The sequence below is a fragment of the Homo sapiens genome, chromosome 5 (assembly GCF_000001405.40).
Source record: "Homo sapiens chromosome 5, GRCh38.p14 Primary Assembly".
Lineage (NCBI taxonomy): Eukaryota > Metazoa > Chordata > Mammalia > Primates > Hominidae > Homo > Homo sapiens.
This window is the reverse complement of record NC_000005.10, coordinates 29793136-29815078: the sequence shown is the minus strand read 5'-3', so window position 1 is coordinate 29815078 and position 21943 is coordinate 29793136. Positions and strand designations below refer to the sequence as shown.

Here is a 21943-nt window from a genome sequence, read left to right as displayed (position 1 = left end):
CTTCCTCCCTCCCTCCCTCCTTCTCTCTCTCTCTCTTTCTTTCTTTCTTTCTTTCTTTCCTTTCTTTCTTTCTCTTTCTTTCTTTCTGACAGTCTCACTTTGTCACCCAGGCTGGAGTGCAGTAGAGCAATCTTGGTTCACTGCAACCTCCACCTCCTGGGGGCAATTCTCCTCCCTCAGCCACCAGAGTAGGTGGGATTACAGGTGTGCATCACCATGCCCAGCTACTTTTCCTACACTTTTCTGTGGAGCCATCCTTGTGATTTTCTGCCCCATTGGCTTGCTGCAGCACCTTCATTGTGCTCTGGTATTCTCCAAACACTATTAGTGTTTGCGAGTAGTCAGTAAATAGTGAAATAATTGTTTCTTTAGGGGGTAAGGAGAATTAGAGTCTCGCAGTCCACTATTTTGCTGATGTTACCAATTTCACCCATGACATATTCTACAATGCACATTTCACAATGCGAATTGTAATACCAAGGTGTGCCAAAATAGAGCCATTTTTATATGCATATGAGTAAAAGTTGAGTAAAAGTCATTTCCCTTCCCTCTGTCTATTGAGAATACTCTTTGTAATTTTAAGACATAATACATTTGTTATAGCTGTATTTAATTTAACTTTATACAGATAGAAAAATCCTAAGCTAATTATTAAATCCATAAACATAGACAAATTCTAAAACAAAGAAATCAGAATCAAATTATAAATTTTATTGCATATATTGTCCATTCACATCCACCATTTTATTACAATATATGCAGGGTTTCATAATACTTAACATATATCCTTTTATTATTAACTTTTAAAAATAAAATTTAAACCTAATGTTGAATGTTCACAGCATGCTTGTTGAGTCTCCAAATTTAATGTGGCTGATTATTCCGTAAAATACAGCATTCAGCATCTTAGTTTAAGTGTGCAAAATGCTGAGAGTATCTTATTAGATATTCTTTGCCACAGGTATAGACAAATGATGATGACAAGCTGTGAACCCAAAAACTGTATTTAATGGTCTATCAGCATAGGTTGAACATTGAGAGAGAAAGCATTTATTGATAAAATTTCTGATGCATGCTGTGTTGGGGAATGAATGGCACAGGGAACTGATGCCTGACAATCAGCACACCCCAGGGAAAACATAAACAATACGTATCTTTGTAACCTTCGTCACCTCCTATTTGCTTTATATTTTGCCATTGGTTTTAATGAATAGAAGCTGGGTTCCATCAAATCTCTGCAGGGTTCTTCTACTTTTCTTTTCTTGCACTACTGCGATGAACACATCTGCTTGAAACTGTCAGCCACAGTAAGTGTAGATTTTTGAGTATTAAGAGGATCTGCAACTTAAGCATAGACAACACCCCAGTAAAGCTCCTCCACAGTTGTGATATATTGTTTCTAATCCCATTTTAGGAAAATTTGTCCCTGAGATGAATGTATGTGACATCTTTCAAAAAGCCTTAACATCTGTTTGAGACACTGATGTTTCACAAATTTCAAAGATAGCAAATGTGACTCAGTGTATGTCTGTTTAGGGAGAGTCAAAAAATGTCCAGAATGTCATAGTTTAATTGAAGTAGATAGACTGCATTTTTTTTTCTCAGCAAAGTATCTGTTTATTAATTTCAATACGTAGCCGGGAGCGGTGGCTCATGCCTATAATCCTAGCACTTTGGGAGGCCGAGGAGGGTGGATCACCTGAGGTCAAGAGTTCGAGACCAGCCTGGCCAACCTTGTCTCTACTAAAAATTAAAAAAATAGCAGGGCCTGGTGGTGCATTCCTGTAATCCCAGCTACTCAGGAGGCTGAGGCAGGAGAATCGCTTGAACCCAGGAGACAGAGGTTGCAGTGAGCCAAGATCATGCCACCGTACTCTAGCCTGGGCGACAGAGGAGATACTCTGTCTCCAAACAAAACAAAACAAAACAAAACAAAGAAAAATTAATTAATATGTGTATGTTATTTAAGATAAAATTTAACACATTCCTGAACACAAGGTGATGATACAATTTATAATCCAGTTTCTTTCATATTACCTCTGATTTTCAAAGGGGCTTAACATATGGACACACTTATACATCCTGGTTTTGATATTTTTCGTATACACATGTTAGATAAATTGACATAACAGGCAAACTTTGATTAAAAGTGTTAAAGTTTTCAGCCAATTTATTCATGATGCTAGGAACCTCAAATTAAAAGGAAATGATGAACATGACCAGAAAAAGAAATACAACAGAAGAAAAACAAAGGCGGCACTCATTACTGGCCCTAGAATCATCATCTCTTGTCTTATAACTTTAATAAATTTAATATAATTTTATCTATTTATCTATCTATAATTACCTATGTGTCTATATACATATGTCATCTTTTTTTTTCAGTGATTATAGAACAGTCTCATAAATGATTTAAAATTTGAATTTACTGCTTTGGACAGGAAATTATCTTTCTATAACAGGGAAGTTCCATGTGAAACACTCTATTTAAATTATAAGGAGTGAATGTGGAAAAGCCCTACTATGTCATAAACTGGCACAAAGAAGATACTCAAAATATGTTTGGTGAATACATTATGAAATGATTATAAAAAGCTGACAAAGCAAAAAAATGATGAATGAACTAGATTAAAACTTTTCAATCTAGATCACATAGAATATCAATAATTGCTTAATAATATTAAGGACTTACTATGATCCAAGCATTTTTGTTAAGTGTTTTACATATATTAACTTATTTATTCATCCCAGCATGGAGACATCTGTACTTACAATCAATACTTGGTTATTAAATAAAATTTCCACTTCCAATTAATATTTGGTTTCTATAAAATTTGTATGTCTGAATATTTCTAAGATTGATTACAAGCCTATATTTAAGTAAGTACTTACAGTGATTAAAGTGAGTTTGAGAATTTCTGGACTGATCAAGGAAAAGATGTAACCACAAGATGTCAGGAGTACACAGTGCGCTTTATCTAGGAGGCACTTGAGCAGGTTGTAAGTTAGAGGGACTTCCTCACAGCCGGAGATCTTCCAGAGACAACAGCATAAGGCCACCATCTGGAAGGGGAAAGAAAGAGGTTTTCTGTGGAAGAAGAAAATCAGAGAGGAGACCCCAGTATCTAGGTGCTGTCACTCAGCAACAAGATGGAGAGTTTCTGGGTCATGAGCTCTAAGGGCAAATCTTGGGATCAAGAGTGTCCCCAGAGTTTATTTTATTTATGGCCAGCAGATGTTGGGTACAATTTCTCAGGTTGTGCCAAGCAGGCAGGCTCTACATGGCTAATCACATGCTCATATGGGCTATATTTAAAGTGATTGATTGTGTAAAAAGTTTAGTTTGGTACTGGCAGGATTTTTAGCTAACAGTCCTTTTCTGCTGTGAAGAGATAAACAACATAGTGGCTGATACACAGGGACTATCTTTGGCTCACTTATATAACCTCTATAAAGTAACTTCTACTCATTGTTAGGTAAAAAAAGGTAAAAAAAAAAAAACCAACATACTACTGGTTTTAAGTTATGTGGTATGATGAGAGAGAGAGAGAGAGAGAGAGAGATAGATAGCGATACCTATCTAAATATTTACATCTATATGTGTATCTGTATCTTCCTAAGCTATACTTTCAAGAACACACACACACGAAACTCTAAAACTAACAAAAACTATTAAGCATTTAAAACATCTTTCTACATACGTTAACACCCAACCAGTTTTGCTTAGGGAACTTTATTGCTTGTACGTTTGACGTTTAGGCACTTGTATCACTAAGCGAGGGCTGCCAAGGCTAGGTTTCTTATATAAAAGACATTTATTTTCTCATTGTTCTGGAGGCTTAAAGTTGTAACCAACGTGTAAGAAGGTTTGGTTTCTCCTGAGGCCTCTCTTTTTGGTTTGCAGAAGGCTTCCTTTTCAGTATGTCTTTATGTGACCTTTTTTCTGTGTGTGCACACTCATGGTTTCTCTCCCTCTTCTTATGAAGACACCATTCCTATTATATTAAAGCCCCACTGTTATGATATTATGTCATCTTAATTATCTCGTTAAAGGCCCTGTCTCCAAATACAGACACATTGGGGGTTAGGGCTTTAACATATGAAATTTTGAAGAGACACAACTCAGCATATAACAGCACTTCCTGTAGAAATTGCTATTACATTTGTCATGTTTCCATTAAGATACAGAGCCTGTAATAGATGCCCTGCACTCTTTCACTATTTTAATTGTGTGTGTGTGTTTCTGTGTGTGTGTGTGTGTGTGTGTGTGTGTGTGTTGTATCCCACATTTCTACTTACCTTAAACAAGAATTGCATGCTCATTTGGCTCACAAAATTCAGTTCCTTGGAAATTTCAGTTTCATACAGCACTTCAGTAAGAACTGAAAATTAACTTTCCTAGCTGAGTAAAACCAAATGGAAACAAATTTCAGGGCTTAAAAGAACTTTGTAAATGATGTCGTATCACACATTTCGTTTAATTTCTTCTATCAGACATTGAAGTATCTGTTAAATACTCATTCCTATAAAGATGTGCGCAACTACCAAATGGAGTAGCCAGCACATTAAGAGCTCCACATAATTATTAAAACTGTACTTTATTGAGATCAACCAATTCCATTAAAATATCATTAAAAATGAATACATTGAAAAGATCCTCAGAGAAATGAGAGGAAACGATCATGGGTTTCTGAAATTTGAGCTTCATGAAAGCAGTATTTTGATGCCATGATTTTTATTCATTTACACAAATAGGAACAAAGCTGGTGGCATTATATTTTAAAATTACTTTATACTAAGTTTCCTCCTCCCTACCAATATTTAGCAATTCTCAACATTATATGTATGTGTCAGACACTTTTCCAGGATTTGGGAAGAGAATACTGAATAAAACAAACTCTCTGCCCTCATACAAATTTATTCTAACATGGAGCCACATAAATTAATACTTCCTTTAATTTGAGTTCCCCGTTTGGGACTAACTAATGTCGTTAAGAGAAGTGTATCGGTATTCAATGTATTAAAATATATCTATAAACCATAAAATGTACATATAATAATTGTACGTATAATTATTGTATTTTATTAGGTAGGCATGTCCTACTTAATATGTATGGCTAAAATAATCAGGAACAACAATTCAATTGTAGTTTCCAAATGTATTGGTGGTAAACAGTGGACTAAAATGCGGGAGGAGGGCTTACAAAACTAGTTTCTTGCTCTCCTTCACTCAGTTCTCAGTTACTTACTAACTGTGAAATGAGCAATGCATTTACCTGCACAAAACTCAAGAACTTCCTGAGTGAAATGAGTCAAATAATAATAACTATTTAAATAATGGCTCTATGTATTATAGGATAGAACCTGTGTTATCGTCCTTAGCAAGACGCCCTGAATGTTAAATTCATTCAAATTTATGGTAGTTATAAATATTATGGAAATGTAGAAGTGTTGAAGAGGGCAAGCAGAGATGGTATGCTTATTTTTTCTCCCTATTGGTAGCAAATTGTTTAGCTTTCATGTCGTGGTTTATATTTTTAAAAGAAAAGAATGCGATCATATAGGAAAAATTTCCCGTAGACTATTATAGTGATAGTGTCACCCCAGGACACTGAAAATTTAAATGTTTAAATATGAAGAGAGTGGTTTGGCATATTGTTTATTGAAAGATTTCCAGTAATTTTATTTTTGATATATTTGTGTTCCACAAACTTTATATGTATTGCTTTTGAGGAGTAAAAATACAGACAGATTTTTTTTACTGTTGGAGTGACAGTTTACAGATAAGCAAAGGAAGGAAGCATAGATTGACCAATGCGCTAATGAATTAGAATTAAAGATACCAGGAACCAGGGTTCCTTGGAGAAGTCGCTGATTCTGGGACCAGGGGAGAAAATATAACATATGAGCTTGGATCAGCTTGAGTTCCAGAAAATAAGGAAATGAAGAAAATGAAAACCAAATATGATCAAATAAAACACACATACATAAAAAATGAGGGGGGTATGTCAAGGGGACAGAAGAAACAACTCAAAGAGCTCCCAATGGCCAAAGCTGGAACAATTTGAGCATCAAAATAATTAAAATAGTGTGAGATTATAACAGAAAGGAGAAAATGAATATCAGTGAGTCCATATTGGTATACATAACTGCAGAACAGCAAATAATTTAAGCACATACTTCATCCTCAAGGAGGTGGAGCACGAGTCTCATTAACCCCCTTAAATGTGGGTTGTGCAGTTATTTAGTGCATTATTTAATCCAATGAAAGTAGTATGGAAAACGGGTGGCAGGTGGAAATAAAATAAAAAACATTTCAGTGGAAAACCTGACAAACACTACCTCAGCCAGATGGTCAAGGTCAACATTAACAATGATAAGTTATGTTGATAGTGTGTGCCCATGATATTATGTAACAAAAATATCACTGTACCCCTTAATATTTCTTCCAAAAACCTGTAACTCCAATCTAATAATTAGAAAAATATCAGGCAACTCTCAATCAAGTGACATTCCACAAAATACCTGAACTGTTCTCAAAACTTTCAAGGTTATCAAAAATCAATGAAAGTATGAGAATCTGTCTCAGTCAAGAGGAGCCTAAGGTGACAGAACTCTCAATGCAATGTGATATTCTCAATGAGTTCCTAGAAGAAAAAAATATTTATTAGGTAAAAATTAAGCAAATCTGAACAAATTATGCACTTTATAATTACTTAATAATTATGTATCAATATAGGTTCATTCACTGTGACAAATGCTAATTTATGATGTTAATGATAGGGCTTACTGGGTATGAAGTAGATGGGAATGTTCTGTACTATCTTTATAATTTCATATAAATCTAAAGAGTTTAATTTTTAAAACTAAAAAATGAAGTTTACTGATAAATATATATTCAGAAATTTTTAAAATTCACCTGATTTGTTATGGTTCAGTGACAGAAGGTTGGTGTTCAAACAAGTCATGAAAGGAAACAAACAAAAAGAAAAGTTTACGTACAAAATGAATGGGACGATACATGTATTTTTTTCTTTGAAAATTACCCAGATTTTTGAAATGTTTATTGAGTCCAAATAAAGGGAAAAAACTTAATAAGGGTAAAACTTTTTTTTAAAAAAGATAATATCAAGTGGATACTTTCTTTATATATAACCAAATTTTCACATAAAAATGTGTACCTTTGCTTGTGATTTTAAAAATATATAATAACTGTTAAATCACAGGCCTGAAAATCAGATCAGACGTTGGTAGTAAACAATGCTCATACCTACATAAAACCCCGGAATATGAGAATGGATTCCTAAAATATAGAATATCCCACATTTCTGTCTAGCACAGAGAGAATGTTCAGATGGAGCACTTGAAGCCTTGTATATTTCACAGTGGGAGGACAATTATATTACAAAAACAAGTATAATGGCAAATTTCCCAAACAGAACATCCCAAGGACTGTAAAACCCTGAATCTGCACCGGGCACAAACTGAAAGGAAGGAAGGAAGGAAAAAGTGGCCATTACTTCTGTTCCTGGCCTCATTGCCCTGCTCCCTATCACCTGGGAGGCCCTATGTTCTTTGACTGCAGAATTTGGTACACACATCTCCTCTTGCGGACAGATTCCCATGCATCCTTCAAGCTGCCTCAAAGTTTTTTCTTTCATGATGTCTTTGGTGAAATTATCAGAGAGCATTAGCTGCTCTTGTCCCCAGAGTATTGTGCTTATTCTATTTATTACTTCAACTAATACCTATTGATAGGCTATTATGTTCTAGGTCCACATTTGTATTTCCAAGCCATCATTTCCTGAAATGTGTGACAGCATTGTCTGATTCACCTTCTAGATTATGACACACACTTGGTGGTCTCCTCCAAAAATGAAGGAGAGCATTTCTATAACCTCAAAATAAAACCCATATCCATCAGCTGTCACTCACCAACCTCCCTCCCTCAAGCACCGTTTATGTGCTTTCTGTCTAGATGGATTTGCTTATTCTGGCAATTTTATATAAATAGATTTATAGAATGTGTGTGCTTTTGTGTCTGACTTCTTTCACTTAGTATATTGTTTTCAAAGGTCAACCATTTTACGTTCCATATGAGAACACCATTCCTTTTCATGACTAATATTACATGGTATTGATAAGCTACATTGTGTTTATCCTTTATCAGTTGATAGACACTGGGACTGTTTCACTTTTTGGGTGTTATGAATAATGCTGCCATAAACATTTTTGTACAAATTCCTGGAAATGTGTCTTAAGTTATTTTGGATACATATCTAGATGAGGAATTGCTGGGTCTTACGGTAATGCTACACTTAGCTACTGAGGAGCTTCTAAACTTTTCAAAATGTCTGCGCCATTTTACATTCCTACTGTCGATAAATGAAAATTCCACTTCTTTCACATCCTTGTAAACACTTTTTTTACTTTTTGAATGTAGCCATTCTAGTATGTATGCAGTGATTTCATCAATTTTTTGCATTGCCCTAAAGATGAATAATATTAAATGTATTTTCATATGCTAATTGCTACTTACCTATCTTCTTTGGAGAATTGTCTATTCAAATCATTGGCTCAAATTTATTTCAATGTTCTGCCTTTTTATTGTTGTGTTGTAAGAGTTCTTTATGTATCGTGGGCATGAGTTTCTTATCAGATTTATGACACATAAATAATTTCTGCCACTATGTGGCTTGTATTTTTATTTTCTAGATGGTATTCTTTAAAGCACAAAATGTTTAGTTTTGATGAAGTCCAATATAAAGGGATTATTACATGGAATTGATTTATATGATTATGGAAGCTGAAACATCCTGAGATTTACAATTGGCAAGCTAGAGGCTCAGAATAACCAATGGTGTATTTCTTGTTGAAGTCTGAAGGCCTGAGAAACAAGAGAGCCCAGGTGAAGTTCCAGTCCAAATGATGGCAGGATCAAGACCCAGAAGGAGCTGAAATTTTGAGTCCAAAAGCAAGAAAAAACATCTTAGGTCAAAGGCAGTAAGTTCCCCTTTACTAGCAGGAGGTTCGCCCTTTTCGTTCTAGTCAGGCCTTCAACTGATTGGATAAGGCCCACCCACATTAGGGAAGCAATCTGCTTTATTTAGTCTACCACTTCAAATATTAATCTCATCCAAAAACACCCTCACAGACATATTCGGAATGTTTGGTCAAATGTGCACATCATGTTTCAGTCAAGTTGACACATAAAGTTAATCATCACTGGCTCTCAATTTTACTCATTGTGTCTTTATGTCTGCTTATACCAGTATCTCGTAGTCTTGATTACTCTACTTTTGTAGTAAGTTTTAAATTGGGAAGTGTAATTTATCCAATTTTTTTCTTTTTAAAAATCATTTTTATATTATAATGGATATATTATTTTTCAATATTTATTTTTGGATTTTTGCAAAAAACAATCCACTTGGATTTTTGGTAAGGCTTACACTGAACATATACAGCAATTTTGTATATCAATTTAGTGTATCTATATCAGGTCTTCTAAACCTTCCTTCGGGAAAATGAGATATCATTTCATTTTAAATTTTTAGTCAGATTATATTACAAAGTTTTAAAGTTTTCAGTCCACAAGTCTTGTTAAATTTATCCCAACTATTCTTTTGTATTCTGTTGTAAGTGGGATTGTTTCACACATTTCCTGTAAGGACTTTTCATTGCTTGGGTATAGAAATATATCTACTACATTGTAATTTTTGTTGTAATAATTCATTAGATTACATAGTTTTTCTGTGGATTCCTTATAAGTCTCTCTACATAAAATGAAACCTCTAGAAACGGAGATATTTTATTTCTTTTCTTTAAATTAGAATACCTTTTCCTTTTTTTCCCCCTATTTTCCTTGCTAGAACCTTCAATGTTAAAGAAAATAAATGGGAGTAGACATCCTGTCTTATTCCTGGTGTTAGGGGGAAAGCATTATATTTTTCACTGTAAATATAACATTACCTTTGGGTTTTTCATATGTAGCCTTTATTAGAATGAAGTAGTTCACTTCCATTCCTACTTTGTTACGTTTTTATTTTTTTGAATGAGTGCTCGATTCTGTCAAATGCATTTTTCTTCATCTACTAGGATGATGACTTTTTTGTCTTTTATTAATATGATTATTATAATCATAGTCACATGTTAAATCAATCTTGTATTCCTAGGTTAAATTCCAGTTTGTCGTATTGTATTATCCTTATGTATATTGTTGGACAATATTTACTGGTATTTTGTTAATAATTTTTGTATATATTTGCAAATTTAACTGTGATGCCTTTAAAAAAATTGGTTTTATCCTCAGGTTAATACTGGCCTCATAGAATAGATTGTGAAATGTCTATTATACTTCTCTAATATGGAAGAGCTAGTGAAAAGTTGATATTAATTTCTCTGTAAACATTTGATAAAATTACATGTGAAGCATTCTCAGCCTAGATGTTTCTTTGTTAATTTTTTTAAATCACTAACTCAATTTCCTTACATGTTATATGTGTATTCACGTTTTCTATTTCGTCTTTAGGCAGTTTCAGTAGTTCGTTTATCTGGAAATTTGCCAATTTCATATGTTATCTAATTTGTTTAAATACAACGCTCACAGTGTTCCCTTATAAACTTTTTAGAACAGATTTATATTTAGAGAAGATTGAGTATATAGTACAGAGAGTTCTCACATACCCTTTCTCCTCGCCACAACTTCCCTATTACAAGCATCTAGCATTTGTGGGGTATATTTGTTACAGCTGAGGATCCAATATTGATGCATTATAATTAACTGAAATAAATAATTCACCGTAGGTACTTCACTGTATAGTACCTTTTATGGATTTTAAGAAATATATAATATTGTACATCCATCATTAGAGTATTACAAATAATAGTTTTACTGCCCTAAATGTTCCTTGGGCTTTACTTGTTTATCCCTCCTATTTCACCCACTCAATCTGTGGCAACTACTGATCTTTTTATTGTCTCCATAATTTTGCATTTTGCATCACGGCATTCAGTATTAATCGTGTAATATGTAGGCTTTTCATACTGTCTTATTTTGTCTAGTAATATGCATTTTGTGTTATTTGTGCCTTTTCATGGCCTGATAACTCATTTCTTTCTGTCATTAAATAATATTCTATTGCACCAATGTACTAAAATTGTTTATCCTTCTACCATTTGAAGAAAATGTTGGTTGCTTCCACTTGTTGGCAATTATCAGTAACACTGACATGAATATTTTATGTGCAGACTTTTGTGTTTACATGAGATTACAACTTATTTGGGTAAATATTTAGGAGTACAATTGCTGAATCATATGGTAAGACTATGTGTAGCTTTGTAAGAAAGGCCAAATTGACTTCTGATGTGCCTGCACTATTTTGAATTCCCACAAGCAATAAATAAATGAGTGTTCCTGTTGTTCCACATCTTTGCCAGTATTGGTAATATTGGTTTCTTTGGGTTTTAGCCATTCTAATAGGTCTGTAGTGGCATCTCACTCTTGTTTTAATTTGCATTTCATTAACAACATACAAATTTGAGCATCTCTTTATAGGCTATTTGTCCTCTACACATCTTCTTTGAAGGGTGTGTTTTCCCAGATCATCCCAATGTTTTATTTTTTTTCCGTATTGTTGAGTTTTTTGACATTTTCAGTCAAAATAACTTCATTGAATATATATTTAACAAATATTTTCTCCCAGTCTGTGGCTTGTCTTTTCATGTTCATAGTGCATTTCACGAGCAAATATTCTTAATTCTAATTCATTTTCATGCATTGCACCTTTCAGATAGGTTCTAAGGAGTCATCACCAATTCCAAGGTCATTCACTTTCACCTATGTCATCTTTTACTCATTTTATCATTTCATGTTTCACTTTTAGGTCTATAATCCATCTGGAGCAAACTTTTGTGAAAGGTATAAAGTCAATGTCTAGATTAAATTTTTGGCATTTGAATGTACAGTTGTTCCAGCACCATTTGTTGAAAGGACTTCCCTTTGCTCTTTTGTCAAAGATTAGTTGACTACATTGGTGTGGGTCAATTTCTGGGCTACTTTTTCTGTTCCTTTGGTATGTTTATATTTTTCATTCATATTACAGTACTTGGATTTTTACTTTTATATTAAGTCTTGAAGTTGGGTAGTATCAGTTCTGACTTTATTCTTATTTTTCGGTATTGTATTACCTGTTCTGGGTCTTTTCCTTTCCACATAAACACCAGAAAATGTTTGTTAATATCTGAAAAATAACTTGCTAGACTTTGAATGAGATTGCCTTGAGTCTATAGATAAATTAGGGAGAAATTGACATCTTGAAAATTGAGTTTTCCTACCATAAACATGGAACATCTCTCTATTTATTTAGATATTTTACATTTCATTCATCAGAGTTCTGTAATTTTCTCTCATGTAGACCTTAAACCTATTTTCTTAGGTTTATTTCTACATACTTCATTTTTATTTGGTGCTCATGTAAACGGTACTATATTTTAAATTTCAAATCCAGTTTTTCAATGCAATTGACTTTTGTGTATTAACCTTTTATCCTGCTAGGTGGCTATAATCTATTTTAGTTTTATGAGATTTTTGTTTTGTTTCATTTTTTGTCAGTTATGTGAAATTATCTCCATAAAAAAATCATATATATTTATGAACAAAGATAGATTTTATTTTTCTTCTTTCCCAATCCTTATGACTTTTGTTTGTTTCTTGTGTTTTTTGCATTAGCCAGAACTTGAGTATAATATTGAATGGGAGTGGTAAGAAGAGACATATTTGTTTTGTTTCTCATCTTAGGAGAAAACATCTAATTTCCCAATACTAAACATAACATTAGCTCTGAAGTTGTTTCATCTATGTTTCTTATGAAGTTATGGAAAATCCTCTCTATTGTTAATTTGATGACAGTTGTTCTTAATCATGAATGGATGTGTCTGCATTTTGTTTCAAATGCCTTTTCTGCATTAATTGATATGAACATGTAATTTTTCTTCTTAGGCCTTTTGATGTGATGGATTACATTGATTTAAAAATACTGAGCCAGCCATGAACACCTAAGATAAATCCCACTTGATCATGGTATATGAGGCATTTTATATATTGTTGGATTTGATGCACTATAATTTCATGTAGAATTTTTGTATTTACTTATGAGAAATCCTGGTCTGTAGTTTTATTTTCTCATAATATCTTTATCCAGTTTTGGTATTAGGGTAATACTGGCCTCATACACTGATTTAGGAATTGCTTTTCTACTTCTATTTTCTGGAAGATATGAAATAGAATTGCAATCATTTCTTTATTAAACGTTTGGTAAAGTTCACCAGTAAAAAAAAAAAAAAAAATATGAGCTTGGCATTTTCTCTTGTGGAAAGTTAATTATTGCTTCAATTTCTTTCATATATATGGGCCTATTTAGGTGATCTATTTCTCTTGTGTGAGTTTTGGTAGGTTGTGTCTTTCAAGATACTGGTATGTTTCATCAAAGTTATCATGTTTTTGTCATAAAGTTATATGTAATCTGCTATTGTCCTTTTAAATTCAATGGGCTTACTACTGATAATTGTATTTCATTTCTGATACAGGAAATGTGTCTTCTCTATTTTTATTCTTTTATCAGCTTTTCAATTATCTTACTAATTTCAAAGAACCACTTTTTTTACTCACTGATTTTTTTCTATTGATTTCTTAGTTTTAAAAAATCATATTTTCCCTTCCTCTAATTTTGTTGTTGTTGTCACTCTTTGCTGTTGTTTGGTGTTGTTGTTTTATGAATAAACTTTTCTGGACTAATTCTGTAAAGTCTTTATTCTTTGTTGTGTGTATCCACATGAGTCTCTACTTGGGTAGTCTTACTGGAGAGAGATATCCTTAAACATCTTGAACCAACAAGTTTCTGAGATTTGGCCAATAGGCTCTTTGTATGTATCAGTGTACACTATCAGTGATCTTTGCGGTAGTTTACAAGTGTGTCGTGGGCTTCATTTCCTGCTTGTGTAGGGACTCAAGGTCAGGCAGAGGTTAGAAATCAGTGCTCTCTAAGGTCTCAGGTCTCTTTGCGGCATCTGTGCAGCCCTATGCATGAACACGGAGCCTAGATTCCCTGGAATTTGGTGAAATATTGTAAAGCCTCCAATGGATACGTAATCCTCAGGGTCTATTTTTTGGTTATCTTTTTGTTTACTTTAACTGGTAGTGCCACCTCAAATAACAGCAGTGTTGTGCAATTGCTGCTGGTTACTTTTGACAAATTTCCTGGAGCTAAGCTGCTCTCACACAGAGAGCCCAAAGTCAGGTGAAATGAAGTAAAATGCTAAGAATTAAATATTTCAGCCAGCCCCTAGTCTGGTCAAACTTGAAATGGGGGGTTAGGGAACTCCAAACCTCTGCTCTGCCTTCCATAGCTGTTAGGTTGCTGAATTTTGCAGCTATGCTATTGTGAGCCTATTGGTTTTCAAGGCTGCCAAAGTGTTAGATAGAGGGGAAGGGGATCAGGGCAGGCCAAGATACCACAAGGTTCACTGTTCATACTGAGATTCAGTCATTTTTCTTGAATAAACACTCTTCGGATTGTTTGTAAATCTTTAACTGACTTTCAGAGTTAAAAAATGTTCATTTGGACTTTTTCTGCCAGTGTTCTCATTGCTTCTGAAGGAATAGAAGATTTTCAAAAGTCTTTACTCTGACATTCCAGAAGTTGGTCCGCAAACACATATAGTTTTGATTATATGACTGCGTAGCTTTTTGTGAGGCAAGCAATAGCTCACTGAACCTGCAATTGTATGTACTATATCACAGTATATTATATCATGTTATATTATATTTAGTATACATAACATATTTATAGATGTGTTATATAAATATTATATATAGTATGTATCATAGCCATATATGTATGTGTTTTGTGCAATAAATTTTTTTTCACACTATATAAAAGGAAACAGATTATCTAATTACAATTAAAGTCAGCACTTTGCTGAAAGAAAAGTGAAAACATGAGTTTGAGATTAGTTGCATGTTTGATTCTATACCTTCCTCTGAAATGGACCTAGAGGAGGTAAAAAAACGTGGTTGCTCTTCCATGATGATTAAGTTATTCCAGAGGAGGATGGAATGGTTAAACAAACACAAATACACAACACATACACACACACACAACACACACACACACACAGCTGGCTTGCGCTTGTAAGACTACAGTGGTGGTCAAAACCTAAGTTCACTTGAAGTCCAGAAACCTTGAAATATTGATAAAGGCCTTGGAAGCAACTCAGCACAATTAAATCATTGTCCAATTTTAATACTTTGGACAATTTAATATTTTAATACTTTGGCCTGGGATAAAGAAAGCTGTTTTCTGTCCTGGAAGGAGTGGTGGTTCTAAAATGGGATATTCTTATTATTTTGAGATACGCCCCATCAATATACCCACAGCCAATATCATAATGAATGGGCAAAAACTGGAAGCATTCCCTTTGAAAACTGGCACAAGATAGGGATGCCTTCTCTCACCACTCCTATTCAACATAGCATTGGAAGTTCTGGCCAAGGCAATCAGGCAGGAGAAGGAAATAAAGGGTATTCAGTTAAGAAAAGAGGAAGCCAAATTGTCCCTGTTTGCAGATGACATGATTGTATATCTAGAAAACCTCATCGTCTCAGCCCAAAATCTCCTTAAGCTGATAGGCAACTTCAGCAAAGTCTCAGGATACAAAATCAATGTGCAAAAATCACAAGCATTCTTATACACCAATAGCAGACAAACAGAGAGCCAAATCATGAGTGAACTCCCATTCACAATTGCTTCAAAGAGAATAAAATACCTAGGAATCCAACTTACAAGGGATGTGAAGGACCTCTTCAAGGAGAACTACAAACCACTTCTCAATGAAATAAAAGAGGATACAAACAAATGGAAGAGCATTCCATGCTCATGGGCACGAAGAATCAATATCATGAAAATGGCCATATTGCCCAAGGTAATTTATAGATTCAATGCCATCCCCATCAAGCTACTAATGACTTTCTTCACAGAATTGGAAAAAAATACTTTAAAGTTCATATGGAACCAAAAAAGAGCCCGCATTGCCAAGTCAATCCTAAGCCAAAAGAACAAAGCTGGAGGCATCACGCTACTTGACTTCAAACTATACTACAAGGCTACAATAACCAAAACAGCATGGTACTGGTACTAAAACAGAGATATAGACCAATGGAACAGAACAGAGCCCTCAGAAATAATGCTGCATATCTACAACTATCTGATCTTTGACAAATCTGACAAAAAGAAGAAATGGGGAAAGGATTCCCTATTTAATAAATGGTGTTGGGAAAACTGGCTAGCCATATGTAGAAAGCTGAAACTGGATCCCTTCCTTACACCTTATACAAAAATTAATTCAAGATGGATTAAAGACTTAAATGTTAGACCAAAAAACCATAAAAACCCTATAAAAAAACCTAGGCAATACCATTCAGGACATAGGCATGGGCAAGGACTTCATGTCTAAAACACTAAAAGCAATGGCAACAAAAGCCAAAATTGACAAATGGGATCTAATTAAACTAAAGAGCTTCTGCACAACAAAAGAAAGTACCATCAGAGTGAACAGGCAACCTACAGAATGGGAGAAAATTTTTGCAACCTACTCGTCTGACAAAGGGCTAATATCCAGAATCTACAATGAACTCAAACAAATTTACAAGAAAAAAAACAAACAACCCTGTCAACAAGTGGGCAAAGGATATGAACAGACACTTCTCAAAAGGAGACATTTATGCAGCCAAAAGACACATGAAAAAATGCTCATCATCACTGGCCATCAGAGAAATGCAAATCAAAATCACAATGATATACCATCTCACACCAGTTAGAATAATGATCATTAAAAAGTCAGGAAACAACAGGTGCTGGAGAGGATGTGGAGAAATAGGAACAATTTTACATTGTTGGTGAGACTGTAAACTAGTTCAACCATTGTGGAAGTCAGTGTGGTGATTCCTCAGGGATCTAGAACTAGAAATACCATTTGACCCAGCCATCCCATTACTGGGTATATACCCAAAGGATTATAAATCATGCTGCTATAAAGACACATGCACACTTATGTTTATTGTGGCACTATTCACAATAGCAAAGACTTGGAACCAAACCAAATGTCCACGATGATAGACTGGATTAAGAAAATGTGGCACATATATACCATGGAATACTATGCAGCCATAAAAAAGGATGAGTTCATGTCCTTTGTAGGGCCATGGATGAAGCTGGAAACCATCATTCTCGGCAAACTATCGCAAAAACAAAAAACCAAACACCGTGTGTTCTCACTCATAGGTGGGAATTGAACAATGAGAACACATGGACACAGGAAGGGGAACATCACACACTGGGGCCTGTTGTGGGGTGGGGGGAGGGGGGACGGATAGCATTAGGAGATATACCTAATGTTAAATGACGAGTTAATGGGTGCAGCACACCACCATGTCATATGTATACATATATAACAAAGCTGCACGTTGTGCACATGTACCCTACAACTTAAAGTGTAATAAAAAAATAAATAAAATAAAATAAAATAAAATAAAATAAAATGGGATATTCATTCTACCCTTTAGGACCATTGCATGCTTTCTTTGTTTGCTATAGTCAATTAATTGACTGATTTTATAATAAATTGTAAATATATTTTATAATTATTGACTTAGTTTCTTTGAATTGGATTGGGAAATATTAAATGGATGTTTTCAGTTCTTCTATTAATTAGCAATATTCTATAACAGTAAAAATGTATTTTATTATGTACTACGAGTCAAGATGAAAATTAGTAGGTTGGTGAAACTAAAATGACAAATTTTTAAAAATTGTATAAATACACTGAAAATTCCTGTCATAAATAAACAACATTTGAAAAAATCCAACATTTCTAATGTGTTTGAGTGTCTGCCATTAATTTTCTGAAATGATACTTATGTCACATAACCCATGTTCTACATTCTTTTTTATATTACTTATATATGTGAGCTTAAAAACAGATCAGATAAAAGCAAAAAATGGAAATTTATGTTTTCCAGTTTTTATAAGATATCCATGAAGTCACTTTAGCTTTATGTATATGAGCTTTTTTTTTTTAAGGAATTCTGCATTACTTAACAAAAGAGGCTTGATAGCCTAAAACAATATGAAAAGGTAAAAAAAAAAAAAGAATCGTGTTTGCTGCTCATATATTGAATATTGAACATTTTTATTTAGTAATCCAGACTGGCTGAAAAATTTCCAAAAGATAGAGGGAAAGAATGGTTGAAAGGAAAAAAAAGTAACTTAAAATAAAACTATTTTCCCACAAAATGAAAGCCATCTTATACCCCATGTAATTATATTCTCCCTTCAGCAAAGCTTTATTTTAATCTAATAAAATATACTAATTTAATCAGTAGTCAAATATGTCTGTCACTTTTTACTAATAGAAATAATCTTAGCCTGATTTGTATAGAAAACAGAGATCACAAAAACATATGTTGTTGTGGCTGATTCCTTACTAGTAAGTGTGAAACCCAAGACTAAGTTTTCCTCTTAACCATTAATTCTTCCCCACCCCAAACCCTCATCCCCAGCCTTGCCCCTCTCTGGTTCTAATGAAGTTACTTATTTAAGCCATCTCTTTTCCCAGGCAAGGGGAAGTGAGATCAGTATGCTTGCCCTTATTTTATACAAGCAAAAAGAAGAGCTTAAGGTCCTGCGCATATTGCTGGTTACTGGTAGATATGCAGAGTCACCATCTGCAGTGTCTGGTGGTCCAGGTTATCTTTATTCAACTTCATAGCAGGTCAGAAGTGGAAGCACATGAAAGAATGAGATAAAGTATGGTTACCAGCTCCCCGGGGAAAAGGCTTGAGCAGGATATGGAGATAGGGCCAGGCAATAAACTTGGGTCTCTCCTGTTCTGCCTGGTGCAACTTCAGGAAGGCATTCAGCAATTTGATATCCACTCCATGGAGCATGATGAAGTGGGTACAGGCTTTTCAACTGCCAGATGAGCCCTCCTTCCCTTAGGCAAGTGCCTCTGGACACAGGCTGCCTCAGCTGTGGCCTGGCCAGTACAGAAACCGAGGACCCAGCTGCTGTCGGAACAGGTTATCATTACTCTTAATTCACCTGCTTATTCTAGAGATTAGAAAGAAAATATATATCCCTGACTAAAAATATAATTATCAAATTTATAATTATTATAATCGTAAAAATCCACAAGTTATATTCCTCAGAAAATCAAGACAATGAAAGGTATACTCTGTAAATGTGCTTAGAATTCAGAAGAAAAGTATAAAAACTAGTTATGAGTAGAGAAAAATAAAGAGACAGAAAAATGTAAAATAAAATTCAATTTATATAAAATTGCAACTTCATTAAAAAGTCAGAACTGATAAAATATTGAATAAAAATATTTTTTTCATCTGTAAGGAGAATTAAAACTTTCTGAGTCATCAAACAAAATTAATAAATCATCCCCCATATATATCCTGGTCATTTTTGCAAATTATAAGGATTTTTTTAATTGATAAAGCAACATATGAGTGATTCTTCTGGTTGTAGATGTAGCTTCCTTCAACTGCTATTAAAAATGCAAGTCATAGTGAAGCTGCCAAATACCAAACATTCCCTCTGAAGAAAACAATGCAAAAAACCGGGAAAAAATTCTTCTTCCAAATGAGTAAATGAAAATGAATTGAAGAAGAATAAAGCAATTCAAGGTTCCAACTAATGATACTGAAGATTCATGAAAAGACGATGATAAGAAAGATATGATTAACCACAGATATTCAGACTGTTTTTAAGTAGATATTTACACTTTTCCAAAGCAGCAGCTAATCTTCATGGAACCAGCAAGTGGGTAGTAAAATTATTGACTACATCCCATTACCTAATACAATAAGTGAATTGTCTTAAGTATTTGGCATTATTAAGAATACTGGTTAAAGACCAGAAAGTAGACATGAGTTTCCTTTTACCCAGCAAGTTAACATCTTCTGTTCAGTTTCTGTGTCCTCACTAAGGACCTACTCTTTGATGGCAGAATATTCCCTTTAAGACACATGTTTTCTCTGTCAAACCACAGTATTATGCTTTTTTCTATGATTTCAAGAGGATATAAATATCATAATATGATGATTAAAAAGTGTACATTTAATTAGAAGATGGCTGATCTTCTTATATAGATCCTGAAATACAAATCCAAATTAATTTCATATGGTGTCTTAGTCAGTTTTGGATGCTCTGAGAAATTCCACTCTGGGGACTGTTGTGGGGTGGGGGGAGGGGGGAGGGATAGCATTGGGAGATATACCTAATGCTAGATGACGTCTTAGTGGGTGCAGCGCACCAGTATGTCACATGTATACATATGTAACTAACCTGCACATTGTGCACATGTACCCTAAAACTTAAAGTATAATAAAAAATAAAATAAATAAATAAATAAATAAATAAATAAATAAAAAGAAATTCCCACAGACTGGGCAGCTTAGACATAACACAAATTTATTTCTCACGGTTCTGGAAGCTAGAAGTCTGAGATCAGGGTGTCAGTATGGTCAGGTATTAGGAAGGGCTTTCTTACATGTGAAGACGACAGACTGCATTTCATGTGCAAACTGCATTGTATTCTCACATAGCAGAAAGCAAAAGAAGCAAGCTCTCTCCCAACCCTTACAAGAGCACTAATTTCATGCTCATTAGACTTCATCTAATCTTAATTACCTCCAACGATGCCACTTCCTATTATCATCACATAGGAGATAAGATTTCAGCATGAATTTTATGGAGACATTCACTCCATAACAAATGGACAAGTGTAAAGAGCATTACATTACTAAAATAATCTAGAAGACAATTGAAACTCTGAGCTGCACAATAAAAGCAGATATAATGAGAGATTTGATTAAATATCAAAAACTTCAACAGTAAAGACAAATATCTAAATGGAGAAGTAACATTTGCAATGTAAAATAATAAATATAGGGTGGAGGAATTTCTTAAAACTAATAGAATAAATCTTACAGTGGACAAAGGCCGGAATTAGCAGTTCAAACAGGTAACTAAAAGTCAATAAATATACTAAAATGTTCTAGGCATGTAACATTCAACAAAACAAGATAAAAACGAAAAACGTATGTTTTGCTGTTGTTTAAATATTTAATTTATGTTCATTTACATATATATAAAATTTGTGAAATGTAAAGTATTCAAATAGGTATAAATGTAACAATTAAATGAAACAGAAAAATTTTCCTTTATCTTACCTAATGTCATTATGCTTTTTATCTCTCCCTAAAGGCAGCGTCTGTTAACATTCTGCTATGCACATTTTAATAAGTACACTTTAAACGAACAGTAGGCTCTTACTCATTTTATGGTTTTGGATCTTGCTTTTCATTTGATAAGAAGATTGAGAGACATTTTCCCACCCCATATATGTGTTTCTGAATTTATAACTTTTTCCGAATACCATCATGTGTTATATATTCTAGATTCTCCATTATGTATTCACCATTCCTATAGAGATATTGATTTGCCCTCACTTGATTGCCATGCAAAAAATTTTTGGGGAGACAACCTTATTGATACAATTTGGTTCAGTAGACATGTGTAGTTTTAGCACTCACCCTGTCTCTTGGGACAACCTTCCTCCTTTTTCCAAACTTCAATTCAGAAATCACAGAGTTAGTCATCTATTTTTAGAACTTTGTATTATTTTATCGAGTATTGTTCATGATATGAATGCAAATGCAAGTAACCAGTAAAAATTAAGTATTGTTGCTTTTTGATTCCATAATTCTGCCTTAATTTGGTCATATTTCCTTATTCTAATAAAATATCATTCTATTAAGCAATAAAATATTTTCTTTTTTATTAAAGATAGACGTTTTTCACTTTGTTTTACTTTCGTT

General features: G+C 33.9%; 1 long non-coding RNA gene across 2 annotated transcripts, besides 1 other annotated feature; it reads right to left on the bottom strand.

Annotated features, from left to right (window-relative positions):
- Positions 1-690: 690 nt before the first annotated feature.
- Positions 691-21349, bottom strand: LOC105374703 (uncharacterized). 2 transcript variants are annotated; one of them, XR_925886.2, is made up of 4 exons: positions 21296-21349; positions 4300-4402; positions 2893-3063; positions 691-1344 (listed from the first exon to the last, which is right to left on the bottom strand). It is a non-coding gene; the product is annotated as an uncharacterized LOC105374703 (long non-coding RNA). The 2 variants fall into 2 exon arrangements; XR_925887.3 differs by lacking the exon at positions 21296-21349 and adding an exon at positions 6526-6661.
- Positions 18707-19906: an enhancer, noted in NCBI's record as "MED14-independent group 3 enhancer chr5:29795280-29796479 (GRCh37/hg19 assembly coordinates)". NCBI's record gives its function as "activates an origin of replication core promoter dependent on BRD2, BRD4, P300/CBP and CDK7 cofactors, and independent of MED14, by STARR-seq in HCT116 cells {active_cell/tissue: HCT116}" and the evidence as "EXISTENCE:reporter gene assay evidence [ECO:0000049][PMID:35650434]".
- Positions 21350-21943: the final 594 nt, after the last annotated feature.